This window comes from Homo sapiens, chromosome 7, assembly GCF_000001405.40.
Source record: "Homo sapiens chromosome 7, GRCh38.p14 Primary Assembly".
Taxonomy (NCBI): domain Eukaryota; kingdom Metazoa; phylum Chordata; class Mammalia; order Primates; family Hominidae; genus Homo; species Homo sapiens.
In genome coordinates this window covers 130,080,244-130,096,687 of record NC_000007.14, presented here as the reverse complement: position 1 = coordinate 130,096,687, position 16,444 = coordinate 130,080,244, and the positions used below count along the sequence as shown (strand labels likewise).

The 16,444-nt window shown below is 39.1% G+C and overlaps 1 protein-coding gene across 5 annotated transcripts in view, besides 1 other annotated feature; it reads right to left on the bottom strand.

Annotated features, from left to right (window-relative positions):
- KLHDC10 (kelch domain containing 10) overlaps window positions 1-16,444 on the bottom strand; it is a 65,172-nt gene that overhangs the window by 39,018 nt on the left and 9,710 nt on the right. For 2 of the 5 annotated variants that reach the window (XM_047420062.1, XM_047420063.1), the window contains exon 2: window positions 13,925-13,978. The exons of 2 other annotated variants lie outside the window; for them this stretch is intronic. The gene's annotated coding sequence lies outside the window, so the exon portion shown is untranslated. Of the gene's footprint in view, window positions 1-1,756; window positions 1,794-13,924; window positions 13,979-16,444 lie in introns of all 5 variants that reach the window. One more of the 5 variants, XM_047420061.1, reaches the window with a different exon arrangement.
- Window positions 3,742-3,801: an enhancer, noted in NCBI's record as "active region_26645". NCBI's record gives its function as "activates an Ori minimal core promoter by ATAC-STARR-seq in GM12878 lymphoblastoid cells {active_cell/tissue: GM12878}" and the evidence as "EXISTENCE:reporter gene assay evidence [ECO:0000049][PMID:35858748]".

Here is a 16,444-nt window from a genome sequence, read left to right as displayed (position 1 = left end):
GTTTTTGGGAATTCTGGTTCAATAGCATGTGCACTCAATAATCACCAATGCCATCTTGTGGCAAAAATTCACCAGGAGCTTTATGAACAGATTAGAAACGATGACATTTTTAAGTCAGTTAATTTCAAAATGGAGCTCTGAAACTAATTGGACATAACAGAGGCTCCTGTTCTCTTCAAGGTTATATTAATTATATGGTTAAGAAGATAAAGCAATGGGCACCATTCTTTAAATACGAAATAAGCTGACTCTACTATAATTAAATTTTAAAACAGCAACCAAATTAAACAAACATTTAATATCTTGGCACTTCCATGGGGGAAGGGAGGGAAGGGGCTCATCTGCCTTCCCAGGAAGCAAATTACCTCCATGTTAACCCCAATTAAAATATGTTTTCTTATAAAATAGAATAAAAACCTAATTAAATTAATGGAACTATTATGGGGTAATTATCTCTTTTCCCAAAGTTTTGATCGCTCCCAAATATAGCTCTTATTGACAATAAAAACAATTAACACTTGCATAATGTTTAGGGTTTACAAAGAGCTTTCACATATATTACCTCATATAATTCTCACAACAATCCTGTATTGATTCAACAATCATTTTATTAAGCATCTGCTATGCCTGGAGCCCTATGCTAGGACCTGAGATTGCAAAACAAGGACATGATTCCTGCTCTTCAGAGCCCATGGTCTCATAAGGAAGGCAGATGTGTAAACAAATAATTACGTTACTGTGAAGGAATTGCTGTAACAGGAGCTAACAAAATACTTTGAAGAAGATAGTATCATCATAATTTTTCAAGCAAGGAAGCTAAAGGAAAATTAAATGACTTAATGCCAGAGCCAGGATTCAAGTGAGGCCTTCTGACTCTAAAAACTTGCCTCTTCCCACTACACCATATTTTATCCTGTCTTAAATTCCCTAGAAAAAGAACAGTTTTTATTTTTGGCAACTGGAAATATATATTCAGATGTCCATTAGCAGGGTCTAGTTTGCTTACTACAGAACTTGTACATAGAGATATACAGATTCTGTATAATGAAATGGCATCACCTGCACATTTGCACTTAATTTTGTAGAGAATACAGACTCATGGAAAAGGAGAATTATTTATTTTGCAAAATGATTTATCTTTTAATAGTCTAAGTCTTTTAAATCAATGATTCTCAAATGCTGGTCTACAGACCACTGCTAGGCTAAGGTGAAGATTCACCAGTCCAACATAAAATGAGAAAAATATGGACAAGGCAATAAGTTTTTCAAAAAGCTAAAATGTTCCATTTAAAGGCCTGCTCCTTTTTCAGAGATTAGAACCTTTTTGTTGTTAAATATTCTTTACTTTATGAAATGATGCTGATAAGAAAATGGTAGTTGGTTTTCTTTTTAATATTTTTTCGTGGAAAAACTGAAAATTTGCAAGCCCATATCTACTATAAATATACATATATGGATAAATATAAGTATATATATATTTTTAATGTACAGGTTTATGACATTCAACAATCTTAGAGAACCATTGTTTTAAATCAATACAGTATGTGTTGAGATGACTCCAGAGTCCAAAATTGTAAACCACACTGTCAAAGGATACATTAAATATATAAGAAACTTCCCTTGCCCTTAAGTTTACATTCTAATTAGGGAGACAAGACAGACACACAAAACAATTAGCAATACAAGACAGAATATAACAAGTGATTAGCTTAAAATTTGACATTTTTATGTATCAAAAGCGTTAAAATGTACATACCCTTTGACCCAGCTATTCCACTTCTAGGAATCTATTCCTAAAGAAACAATCATAGATGCATGGAAAGATGTATGGACAAAGATATTAACTATGGTATTATTTATAATGGTAAAAAATTAGAAACACTTTCAATGTCCAATGATAGGGGATGGTTAAGTATGCTAAATAAACATACTTAAATATGCTCATATTCTACATACCACTGAAGAGTATATACAAAACTATTTATTAACATGACAAAACATTCACAATATATTGCAAATGAAAAATACAATGTACAAAATAGTATTAAAGTATGATACCATTTTAGTAAAGAAAAAAGTATTTTTATATATTCAGAAAAAATACAGGAAAGATTACATCAAATTAATGTATTTGACTGTAGTTATCTTTGGATGGTTCTAATGAATTATTTTTGTTTTTTCCCCTTTATGATGGTCTTTATTTTCCAAGCTCTCTGAGTAGGCATTACTTTTAGACTGGAAGAAAAACAATACTGTATTATTTTAATTTTTTAAAAAAGTGATTAGAAAAAAATACTGGAAAGAAACATACCAAAGTCTTAACACTGGTTATGATTGGGCTTGAGATTATTACCTCTTTTACGTTATCCATAAATTCTACGATATATGATTTTATAATGGAAAAATATTAAAAACTACTTTGGAGTAACACTGAGGGAATAACATTAAAAATTACCAAACTGGGCCTGGCGTGGTGGCTCACACCTGTAATCCCAGCGCTTTACGAGGCCAAGGCGGGCAGATCACTTGAGGCCAGGAGTTTGAGACCAGCCTGGCCAACATGCCAAAACCCCATCTCTACTAAAAATATATAAAAATTAGTCAGGCGTGGTGGCAGGTGCCTGTAAACCCAGCTACTCAGGAGGCTGAGACAGGAGAATTGCTGGAACCCAAGAGGCGGAGGTTGCAGTGAGCCGAGATCGTGCCACTGAATTCCACTCTGGGCGACAGAGTGAGACTCTGTCTCAAAAACAAAAACAAACAAAAATAATTAACACACCAAAACTGTAATAAAAAACCCTTTTTATGTCTTCTCAGGGCTTCTATCAAACATCTTTGGCATGTCTCTCTCTCAGCAACCAGCATAAGTCTGTATGCACAGACTCCTGTTGACTCTGCGGAGGTTATTCAATCAAGGCAGGCACTGACTTCAAAACCCATTTTATTCTTTCACCCAAAGAGCAGAAAAAAGAGAAACCAGCAACATAACAGTGTGACGCCAACACAAATGTACTTCTTAAATTTTTAAATAAATGTATGCCTCTCCAGTTTCATATAAATATATTACTGGTCTGAACTTTTATTCATTGAGTTTTAATTTTTATATATTCAAAGTGCCAACCTTCCTACGTGATAGCTTCGACTCTTCAAAACAAAAATATAGGCCGGGTGTGGTGGCTCATGCCTGTACTCCCAGCACTTTGGGAGGCTGAGATGGGCAGATCACCTGAGGCCAGGAGTTTGAGACCAGCCTGGCCAACATGGTGAAACCCCATCTCTACTAAAATACAAAAAAAATTAGCTGGGCATGGTGTCATGCACCTGTAGTCCTGGCTACTCGGGAGGCTGAGGCAGGAGAACTGCTTGAGGGCAGGAGAACTGCTTGAGCCCAGGAGGCAGAGGTTGCAGTAAGCCAAGATCACGCCACTGCACTCCAGCCTGGGCGACAGAGTAAGACTCTGTCTCCACAAAAATAATAATAATAATAATTTCTTCAATAACTTCATCAATATTTTATTTTTTGCTAGTTTTTAGTTTTTTCTCTTTCTTACTATGTTTACTTCACTATAAATATAACATAGTCATTGGCTGAATTAAGATGGTAGGCTGAGCACAGTGTGAGCAAGCTCACCTTCCCCTAAAATCTCCCAAATAACAAAAAAAAGTCATTAAAAAAAAAAAGACATAATTAAAAGAAAACAAGAAATGCCCTTAGTGGACTAATACTATGAGGAATCACTGGAAGATGAAAAGCAGATAGAATCGGACTAAAGAAGACACCACAGTCCTACACACCAAGAGCAGAGGACCAGGGCAAGTGGAGGGACCAACTCTCGGGGTCAACTAAGCCCCAAGGTAAAAGACAGCAGGAAGAAGTGAAACCATTTTAAACATTTACAGCCTAAGTGATTGGAGTGTAGCACAGAAGTTACATAGCAGGTTAACCCCTCCCAGCCATCTACCTCTTTGAGTCAAGCATTATAGAATAGAGGTATTTGCTCCCAGATGGGAACAGTGGCAAAAACAACAAAGGTGTCACTCTCCAGCTAGAACAATCAGTGTGAACACTGGGATCAGAGGGAGAAGGTAGAACCCCGTGGGGATACTAACACCCAGGCAGAAGAGGGGACAGTCACACTGAAGGAGCCTGGCAAGTAGTACACTTCATCTCATTGCTTACTCCATCCCTATCCACAATCTGTGGAGACCTGCTGCAATAAACAGATTTAACACTCACAGCAAGGCTAACTAGGACTCACGATAAAGATGATTGAGCATAAAACTAAGGCCCAAGCATGAAGAAGTATTATAGAAAAGTATATTAAAAAGTTAAGACACAAAAGAGAATCGAACAATATTAAAATTTCAACTAGCTTTTTGTTTGTTTTGCCAAAATGAACAAGCTAATCCTATACTTCAGATGGAAAAAAGCAAGAAACCCAGAATATCAAAACAATCTTGAAAAAGAAGTGAAAGAAGACTCATACTTCCTCATTTCAAAACTTTCTGGAAAGATACAGTATTCAAAAAGTGTGGTACTGGCATATGGATGGACATACAGATTAAATTAATGAAATTGAGAGTCCAAAAGTAAACCCTAACATCCACAGTGTCAACTGATTTTTTTGACAAGGGTGACAAGACTATTCAGTGGGGAATAAATAGTCTTTTCAACAAATTGTCCTGGGACACTTGGATATAGTTTTACATTTAGAATTCTATACCTACTCCAACTCTTGCTTAAGAAGGAGAGTGAAATAAAGAAATTTTTTTATATGCAAGGGCCCAAAAAGTTTGCTTCCTTCAGACTTCTAATGAAATAATTACTCAAAGATATATAATTGGATTGTTTTTTTAAAAAATTAATGCAAGAATAACAAACAAGGCCCAAGAAAAGGGTAAGCAGAGAAACCAGTAAAACCTTTAAGTCTAAATATGCACTGACTGGGGAAAAAAACATTACTAACATTCAGAACTATAATCTCAGATGCTATCAACAGGAATATTTATAAGGGTAGGAAGGGAGGCTGAGAGAAGGAAAACCAGAAGAACATTAAAGTATCTGTCTTATTCAGATGAAGGATATAGAAAATGACTAATATAGATATTGATGAAAAAATATAAATTGAGGTATTGTGTAAAAGATTTAAGAATACTAGCTGGCTTCACTGGTGAATTCCTCCAAACATTTAAGAGCCAATTGCCAAGTCAAATTGATAGAAGTAACCAAAGGTCTCATTCTAGAGAACCTGAAGACACATGTAAGAAGTCAGTTCTGATTTTCTAAAAATGAGAGAGACTAGTTAACAGTAGTTGCCAAAGTGTTTTATCAAAACTGATCATGGTGGCAAGGATGCAGAGGAACTGGATGAGTTATACTTTGCTGGGAGGAATGTAAAATGATACACACATACTCTGAGAGACAGTATGGCAGTTTCCTACAAAACTAAACATATACTTACCATACAACTCAACAATTACATTCTTGGCCATTTACCCCAGAGAAATGAAAACTTATGTCCACACAAAAACCTGTACACAAACGTTCCTAACAGCTTTATTCACAATAGCCAAAACATGGAAGCAATCCCAATGTCCTTCAGCGAAATGAATGGTTAAACCTGTGGTAAAACCATGAACTATTGATACATGCAACCAATAGGAAAAAAAAAATAGTGTCAAAAGGTTACATACTGTATGATTTTACTCACATAGCATTCTTGAAATGACAAAATTTTAGAGAACAGATTAGTGGTCACTAGGGGTTTGCCAGGGAAGGTGGCTGTGGCTGTATCAGGGCACCACCAGGGAACCTTGTGATGGAACTGTTCTGTATCTTGACTGTGGTGGCCACACGAATCTAACATGAAATAAAATTGTACAGAATATGATACACACACACACACACACACACACACACGAGTATGTGTAAAACTGATGAAATCTGAGTAAGGTCACTGGATTGTATCAATGTCAATTTCCTAGTTGTGTTATTGTACAATAGTAACAGGATGTTATCATTCCAAGAAATTGCCTGGGGAAGGGTATATGGATCTCTCAGTATTATTTCCTTCCCTTCTCTCTTTTTTTTTTTTTCTTTAAGACAGAGTCTTGCTCTGTCACCCAGGCAAGAGTGCAGTGGCATGATCTTGGCTCAATGCAACCTCCACCTCGTGGGCTCAGGCGATCCTCCTACCTCAGCCTCTCAAGTAGCTGGGACTACAGGTATGTGCCACCACACCTGCCTAATTTTTGTATTTTTTGTAGAGATAGGGTCTCACCATGTTACCCAGGCTGGTCTCAAACTCCTGGGCTCCAATGATTTGCCCACCTCGGTCTCCCAAGTGGTGGGATCACAGGTGTGAGCCACTGCACCCAGCCAATATTATTTCTTAAAACTGTAAATCAATCTACAATTCTCAAAGTAAAAGGTATAAAAATTAAATAAAAACCAAAAAGAAGAAAAAAAAGATGGTGCCAATATGGAATAGCTTACATTCAAAAATGATATCTCTAAAACAATTATGAATATTTAACAATTAGAACTATTAGGCCAAGGCGGGCAGATCACCTGAGGTCAGGAGTTCGAGACCAGCCTCAACATGGAGAAACTCCGTCTCTACTAAAAAAAATACAAAATTAGCCAGGCGTGGTGGTGCATGCCTGTAATCCCAGCTACTCGGGAGGCTGAGGCAGGAGAATTGCTTGAACTTAGGAGGCAGAGGTTGCGGTGAGCCAAGATCGCGCCATTGCACTCCAGCCTGGGCAACAAGAGCGAAACTCCATCTCAAAAAAAAAAAAATGAAAACTATTGAATCAGAGAAAATGATCCAAGAATTCTGACTTAGGTGGCTACAACATGTGGTACAGTCCTACTCCTATATACAATTCAGGATCTATAAAGAATTTCAAAAGAGAAGCAAATTAATACTGTATTTGGAATCGCTGCACAGTTGTACAGATTGCTTACTGCACAAGAGCTCCAGGCAAAGTGTCTAAGGGAGGCTAAATCCAGCCTTCACTCTATTCTCCAATGTACCCATGGGACTATGTCTACCTGGAAGAGGAACCTTTTTAAAATTTCACAATGGCATACATTGAGCTAACAGTGACCTACTTGTTAAGTAAATGACTTTCTTTTAAATTTAGGATAATCGACATTTATTATCTACTCTATGCCAAACACCTTTATATACTGAGTATCTACTCTATGCTTAGCACTTATAAATACTCTTTTTTTTGGCGGGGCATGGGAGAAGTAGACACAGGGTCTAGCTATGTTGCCCAAGCTGGTCTTGAACTCCTGGACTCAAGAAATCCTCCTGCTTCTGTCTCCCAATAGGGAGACAACAGGCATGTGCCATCACACCTGGGTCATTTTTGTTTATATTGTAGAGATGGGGCCGGGGTTTCACCATGTTACCCAGGCTAGTCTCAAACTCCTGAGATTACAGACATGAGCCACCATGCCCAGCAGTCTTTTTCAATTTTTTTTGTGATTCTAAGAAGTTTCGGACAAGGGGAAAAATTTAAAAGATAAAAGTTCATTTTAAAATATATGTTTTTTTTTTACTGTACATGGGTTTTTTTCTGTAAGATTTACCAAACATCTTGCCTGCATTTGTACTTTATATGTATCGATGTGAATGTGCCTATCTTGAAATATTAACTATAGCCAGAGATTGTTTTTCTTAATTGAGTATCATCTCCTTCCTTTTTATCTCCAGTAAAACTTCACTTAGAAAAATAAATTGAGGCCAGGGGCGATGGCTCAGGCCTGTAATGCCAGCATTTTGGGAGGCTAAGGAAGGTGGATCACTTGAGGTCAGGAGTTCAAGACCAGCCTGGCCAACATGGTGAAATCCTGTCTTTACTAAAATAGCTGGGTGTGGTGGCGGGTCCCTGTAATCCCAGCTACTCGGGAGGCTGAGGCAGGAGAATCACCTGAACCTGGGAGGCAGAGGTTGCAGTGAGCCGAGATTGTGCCACTGCAGTCCAGTTTGGGTCACAGAGTGAGATTGTCTCAAAAAAAAAAAAAGAAAGAAAGAAAGAAAGAAAAAGAAAAACAAAAAACCAAACTAGAAAAGTGATCAATTTTGAAAGTGAAGACACGGCCGGGACTGGTGGCTCAGGCCTGTAATCCCAGCACTTTGGGAAGCTGAGGAAGGTGGGTCACTCGAGGTCAGGAGTTCGAGACCAGCCTGGCCAACATGGTAAAACCCCCGTCTCTACTAAAAATACAAAAATTAGCCAGGCGTGGTGGTGCGAGCCTGTAATCCCAGCTACTCAGGAGGCTGAGGCAGGAGAATTGCTTGAACCCAGGAGGCAGAGGTTGCAGTGAGCCAAGACTGCACCACTGCACCCCAGCCTGGGGACAGAGCCAGACTAAGTCTCAAAAAAAAAAAAGGTGAAGACACAACTTTTATTTATGAACTCACTTTCCCTTCTCTCAGGTCATTTTCTCTTGGCAAATGCAATGCCTTCCAAGAAAATACCTAGAGCTGACTGAAGGATATAAAAGCTTATATTGGACTAAATCCAGCAAAAAGCAAATAATAGTCACTAATTAGCAAATTTTTAATATCTAATATCTGATATTTTAAAAGTTGCTTTAAAAAGTATAATATGGCCGGGCACAGTGGCTCACACCTGTAATTCCAGCACTTTGTGAGGCCGAGGCAGGTGGATCACTTGAGGTCAGGAGTTCGAGACCAGCCTGGCCAACATGGTGATACCCTATCACTACTAAAGATACAAAAATTAGCCAGGCGTGGTGGCGAGCACCTGTAATCCCAGCTACTCGGGAGGCTGAGGCAGGAGAATTGCTTGAACCCGGGAGGTGGAGGTTGCAGTGAGCCGATACTGTACCATTGCACTCCAGCCTGGGTGACAAGAGCGAGACTCCATTTCAAAAAAAAAAAAAAAGAAATTCCATATTTCTGTTTTAGGTTTGTGTGTATGTGTGTGTTTTAAGGAATTTGTTTTATGTGACACCAAAATATTTGTGGTTAGCATTTGATCAATTACACATCTGATTGAAATTAATTGAGTTGACAGTTTGTTGATGAAACCATATGGCAGGAGCTACTATGGGTAAAAAGGGAAAAAACTCAAAAGAAAAAACACCATTCAACTCCAAAGATCACTTATCTCATTTTTTTGTGAGTCATAATACTTCTAATTTCACTTCACTATCTAGTCTTATTATGCCTTATGACGCTTTAATGCTCACATCCTAGATAAAGCTTGGAACAAATTCATGGAATATAGCAAATATAAAAGGGAAGAGCATGAGATTGGGCTGGATTCTAAATGCAGCAGGAAGCTACTGAAGGATTCTGATCTGACAAGCAACATAACCATAGCTGTGCATTAGGAAAATTAATCTTGTTTAAATATAGAGAATGGGTCAGGAAAGTAAGACTAGGAATAGCAAAAAAAACATTTTTAGTGTAGTCCAGTTTACACCAGTGAGGACCTCAATTACAGTACTAGTAACAAAAAGAACTGGGAAGGACAGGAAGCAGAGGGGAGTGCAGCATGGTGCAGGGACTTTAGAACCACATTGCCTGGGTCTAAATCCTAGCTCTGTCCCTTGCTAGCTGTATGTCCTTGGACAAGGTTTTGTCCTGGGTACCCCAGCTTCCTTAACTATAAAAAAGGGGACAGCAATAGTATCTGTTCCCTTACTGGGTTATAAGTAAATGTTTATATAAATCCCTGGCTAATATTATTATAGGGATAAAACATAAGGATGTAAAAGACTAGCTGAATGGGAAAGCAGAGTAAAATAAGGGGATAAGTGTGAGTTTTTAAGTTCTACAACTTGAGGAAAACTTTAAAAACACAGATATTAAAAGGCAAATTAGCAATATTTATCATTATACATTGCAGTGATTGTTCTTAAATAACAGAAACCAGAAACAAGCTAAATATCCATCAATTGGGTGGCTGGTAAATTACAGCACATTCACACAACACAATACTTTCAGCCATGAAGAAGCATGAGATAAGTCTAAATGTGCTAACACAGAACAATCCCCAAAATATATTTTTAAGTTAAAAAAAAGACAGATGCAGAAAGAATACTTTGTTGTTGCACTCTGTTTTAATATAAAGATAACATACACCTATATGCACATATATGCAAATTCTATTTCTGGAAAGACAGACCAGAAACTCTAGGGAGATGGCACTGCTAGGGAGACAGACTGCAAAACGAGGGGTCTCAGGTGAAAGGGACACTTTCTCCTCTTGCATACGATTTGATTTTACCAAGTTTATGTAATGTTTTTCCATTTTAAAAATTAATGAAAAAGACTTTTAGGAGGAAAGCTGTATGCATTCAATCACAGGAAATCATACTTACATATTTTAAGTAAGCGTAACCTTTATGTGTTCTACAAGCTTGCCCAATACTGATACTGGTAAAAGTCTAATGATACAGAGTGTTCAAAACCACTTAAAAATTGGGCAGAAGACTATAGAACCATTGAAAGTGAAAAGGAAAGAAGCAAAGAAGGTCAATAAAGTAGGAGGAAGACAAGGACTGCTTACTTTAAAAAGTAAGGGAATGGCCTTAAAAATAATTTGGGGAAAATAAAGCCTTAAAAAATATACAGGCTAATAAAAATTAGGCTGCACCTCAAAATTCTAAGTAATTACATCAATTTGTCATTTGAAATTCTTAATATATTTTCCAATGTTATAAATAGTTAATAGGTCAGTCCCTACTCAGCCCACAAAGGCCTACTATACCCTGTAAGATTACTTATAGTACTGTACTAATGGTAGTACAAAGTCCACCATTTTATTTTATTGTTGTTGTTAATTTTTTTTTTTTTTTTTTTTTTTGAGAAAGAGTCTCACTCTGTCACCCAGGCTGGAGTGCAGTGGTGCAATGTCGGCTCACTGCAACCTCCACCTCCTGGGTTCAAGCGATTCTCATGTCTCAGCCTCCCAAGTAGCTGGGACTACAGGCCCAAGCCACCACGCCCGGCGTTTTTTGTATTTTTAGTAGAGATGGGGTTTTGCCATGTTGACCAGGCTGGTCTCGAACTCCTGACCTCAGGTGATCCACCCACCGCAGCCTCCCAAAGTGCTGGGATTACAGGCAGGAGCCACTGCACCCGGCTGAGTCTACCATTTTAAAACCTTATCCTACCTTGCTCTCGACAAGGTAACCTCTCCCTCCTTCTTGAAACATGTTTTTCTCTTGACTCTTATGAAACCAAGCAGTCTTGGTCTTCCTCCTACCTCACTGACCTTTGCTTGCTTCTCCTTTCCTTCTCACTTTCAAGAGTTATATAGTCTTCTGCCCAATTTTTAAAAATATTCTTTTTTTTTTTTTTTTCTGAGATGGAGTCTTGCTCTGTCCTCCAAGCTGGAGTGCAGTGGCATGATCTCGGCTCACTGCAACCTCCACCTCCTGGGTTCAAGCAATTCTCCTGCCTCAGCCTCCCTAGTAGCTGGAATTACAGGCACCCGCCACCACACCCGGCTAATTTTTGTATTTTTAGTAGAGACGGGGTTTCACCATGTTGGCCAGGCTGGTCTCAAACTCCCAACCTCGTCTCGGCCTCCCAAAGTGCTGGGATTACAGGCATGAGCCACCGCACCTGGCTAAAGATATTCTTTGGTGAACTCATCCAGTCCAATGGCTTGCTAATAATTCCAAAAAACATTGTGAGCCTCACCATCTCCCTTGAGTTTGATTTTTTTTAATGTAAAGATTACTTACTCTATATCCTTACTTGGAGGTCAAATAGGCATCTCAAGCTTAACACTGCCAAAACAACACTCTTGATTTGCCCCCTACAATCCTGCTGCTTCAGATCTGTTCCATCACATTTGATGAGACTGTCATCTATCCAATTGCTCAAGACAAAAACTTAGGAGTCTTTTTTTTTTTTTTTCAGAGTCTCGCTCTGTCACCTAGACTGGAGTGCTGTGGTGCAATCATGACTCACTGCAACCTCCGCCTCCTGGGTTCAAGCAATTCTTGTGCCTCAGCCTCCCGAGTAGCTGGGACTAATGGCACGCGCCACCACGCCCAGCTGATTTTTTATTTTTAGTAGAGACGGGGTTTCGCCATGTTGGCCAGGCTGGCCTCAAACTCCTGACCTCAAGTGATTCACCCACCTTGGCCTCCCTCCCAAAGTGCTGGGATTACAGGCGTCAACCACCGCATCTAGCCTTGTTAGCAATCATCTTGATTCTTCTCTCTCCTTCACACCTCATAGCAAATCCTATTAATGCTACTTTCAAAATACATCTCATATTCAACCACTTCCAACCACTGATATACCACCTAGTCCAAGCCACCACAATCTTTTTAGGAAAGTACTTCTATAGTCTTCTAAATGACCTCCATGCATCTGTGTTACCGTGTCCCATTAGCCATTCTCCAACCAGCAGCTAGAGGGAGCTTTAGAAAATAATAAATCATACCACATCACTCCTGTGCTTAAAATTACCCAATAGTTACCCTTCAATTTTATAATAAAGATCACAAATTCAGTTTTAGGCTTGCTGAGCTTCAGAAATATGAAGCATGTAATTGTAGATATGGAGAAAGCAAGGAAATGGCCCTCAAAAGAGATTTGGGCTGAAATTACAAAGTGGCATAACTTATTGGCATATGGATAGATATTGAAAATCACAGATTTGGAAGAGAACACCTCAAGTAAGTTGAAAAGAGAAGGGTGGGGACACAGAACCAAGAATTGAGAACTCTCATACATAAAGTCCTGGTAGAAGGGAAAGAGTTGACAAAGACGACTAAGGATGAGGCCAGACACATAAGAAAACGAGACCTGACACCCAGGAAGCCAAAAGGGAAAAGGATGTTTAAAAATGAAGGGAGATCAAGGCAGATGGAGATTTTAAAATGTCCCTTTGACTTGACACACATAAGTCATTTGTGGGTTTGTTTGTTTTTGAGATGGAGTCTCACTGTCGCCCAGGCTGGAGTGCAGTGACGCAATCTCAGCTCACTACAACCTCCACCTCCCGGGTTCAAGCAATTCTCCTGCCTCAGCCTCCCAAAGTGCTGGGATTAAAAGAGAGAATAGGAAAAAATGCTATGTAGATTAAAGTATACATGGGTGGGTCTAAGAAGATGACTAGGAGAATGGCACTTTAGAAAGAAGAAATGGTATGTACAGAATCAAAAAACAGTGTAGCACAGGAAATTCCAAGTTTTTAAAAAATCTCTCCTCTCAACCTACCTTGTTCCAAGAATTTAAGGCAACTAACTGAAAATACTTCTGTATAGCTGAAATATAAAATGAAAGACATAAATGCGGAGGGTAAAGAGGTAGAAAGGGACAAATAGAGTGAGGGTAAGGAGGAAGAATCAACAACACAATTCCTTATCGAATTGTGACCAATTCTATAAGGAATGAGTAAAAGGAAGGAATCTAATGTGATTCCCACATTTCTGGCTTGACTCACTAAATTGATGATATAGCCATTAAATTAGTCAGGATAAGGAGCACAGGATGAAGTAACAGGTTTGCCAGGAAAAATGATGAAATTGTTTTTTGAAAATGTTGTATTTGAGGTACTCATAAGTCAGTTGGTAGAAACATCTAGAGGCTGCTGGCAAACAGGCCAGAGAGAGAGATGTGGGTTAGACATAGATGTAGGTTTGGTCAGGACATTAATGATATCTTACTAAGAGTAAGAAGGGGAAACAAACAAAAGAAATACTCTTGGATACCAATATTAAGTGGCAGATAAAGGAAAACTAATAGGAAGTTCAAGAGATACAAGAATAAGAGCTCTTTAGGAACAGGAACTTTAGTTAATTATGTATTTCTAGGGTCTAGCATAGGAGACAGTTAAAACCAAATTCTAGAGAAGCTGGGTAGGATGAAAACTAAGAGCTATCTACTGGAGTTAGCAATTAGGACGTTATTACCTTAGTAAGAGCACTTGAGTAGAACGATGGAGGCAGAAGTGAGACTGCAAAAGACTGAAGAGAAAAAAGAAATTAAAATATAAACAACAGAGTCTATTCTTTCTGAAAGCCTGGCTGTAACAGAGAGAAGTAAAATAGGCCACCAGCTAGGAAAAAACCTAAAATGTTATTCATATGGTAAACTGAGGAGAAAGAGATTCCACCTAATAAAATAACAGAAAACATAAGCAAGCCTTGTGAGTAAAACATTTAAATATAGAACAGTTTTAAGAGAATCCCAAATTCCTACAGGTGATAAGTAATTATTTACACAGTATTAAATGAACACTTGATAAAGAACTAAAAGGAAAGTAAAATATCAAAATGTTGATATAGCTGTCTTTAAGTGATTTTCTCCTTGTCTCAATTTTTCTACGTTTTCCAATTTTGGGGGTTTTTTTGAGGCAGCATCTCACTCTGCTGCCCAGGCTAGAGTGCAGTGGCATGATCTCGGCTCACTACAGCCCCAACCTTTTGGGCTCAGACAATCCTCCTGCCTCAGCGTCCCAAGTAGCTGGGATTAGCTGGGATTACAGGCATGTGCCCCCACAGCTGGCTAATATTGTTTATTTTTTGTAAAGACAAGGTCTCACTATGTTACCCATGCTGGTCTCAAACTCCTGGACTTAAGCTTTTTGCCCGCCTCGGCCTTCCAAAGTGCTGGGATTATAGGTGTGAGCCACTACACCCAGCCCATTATCCAAATTTTAATTAATGAGTTTGTATTCCTTTTATATAGTGGCTGTGGTAGGGGGTGGGAGACAACAGGTTTTACAAAAACTAATGTCTCAAGTCCAGAAAAGAAAAGAGACTCTAGCTCTAGAAAGGCAGACAATAGAAAGAAATATAAACAGAGAACAGAAAAGAAATGGAAGGGAAAAATAAAACCAACGCAGAAATGAAATCTTCATTGAAAGTAGCACAAAGGAGTACCAGACACTACTGAAAACATAGTAAGGGACATATTAATAGATGACAGAATTGAGAAAGGCAGGCAAAACATAAATGACCTGTGAAAACCCAAAACATTGTTGACATAAATTCAAGATCTAAATAAATGGAAATACAACATGTTCACAGACCTAGAAGACTTAACATTATCAAAATGCCGGGTGCAGTGGCTCATGCCTGTAATCCCAGCACTTTGGGAGGCCGAGGCAGGTGGACTGCCTGAGCTCAGGAGTTCAAAACCAGCCTGGGCAACACGGTGAAACCCTGTCTCTACTAAAATACAAAAAATTAGTGGGGCGTGGCAGCGTGCGCCTGTAATCCCAGCTACTGGGGAGGCTGAGACAGGAGAATAGCTTGAACCGGGGAGGCAGAGGTTGCAGTGAGCCAAGATCATGCCACTGCACTGCAGCCTGAGTGACAAGGGAGAGACTCCATCTCAAAAATAAAAAACAAACAAAAAAAAATATATAAAAGAGGCCAGGCGCGGTGGCTCACGCCTGTAATCCCAGCACTTTGGGAGGCCGAGGCGGGTGGATCACCAGGTCAGGAGATCGAGACCATCCTGGCTAAACACGGTGAAACCCCGTCTCTACTAAAAATACAAAAAATTAGCCGGGTGTAGTGGCGGGCGCCTATATTCCCAGCTACTCAGGAGGCTGAGGCAGGAGAATGGCGTGAACCCAGAGGGCAGAGTTTGCAGTGAGCCAAGATCACGCCACTGCACTCCAGCCTGGGTGACAGAGCGAGACTCCGTCTCAAAAAAAAAAAAAAAAAGAAAACTGAAAGAAACAAATTAATAAAAAAAGAAAATATTGGAACTAAGTTTTAAAAATCCAAGAGCCGGTTATAAACAAGAAAGGGCAAAGCCTCACATAATACAAAATAAGAAATGATAATGAGTAGTTGCAAATCCAGGAAATAATTGTGTAATCATAAAAGAATACCTTGGTCAATTCGCACAAATAATTTTGAAAATCTGGATGAACTGGGTGATTTTCTAGGATAACATAAATTATCAAAGCTACCCCCAAAAGATATAAATTGTAAGCAGCCAACTATCAAAGAATGATATAATTGGTCTGCACACGGTAGCTCACACCTATAATCCCAGCACTTTGGGAGGCCGAGGTGGGAGGATTGCTTGAGCTTGGGAATTCAAGACCAGCCTGGGCAACATTGAGACCCCACTGCTACAAAAAAAAAATTTTTTTTAATTAGCCAGGTGTAGTGGTGTACACCTGTAGTCCCAGCTACTCAGGTGGCTAAGGAAGGAGGATCCCTTGAGCCCAGGAGGTTGAGGCTGCAGTGACCCATGATTGTGCCACTGCATTCCAGCCTGGGCAACAGTGTGAGACCCTGTCTCAAAAAAACTAAGAAGTATGATATAATTGGACAATATAATTGTCTAAGAGCTTCTTCTACCCCCTAAAAAAGAGGAGGTCCAAATGACTTCATGGGGAATTCCACAAAACCTTTAACTTCAATGCCATTTAACCACAGAGGGGAAAAAATGCATAGAAAAAGAAAGGA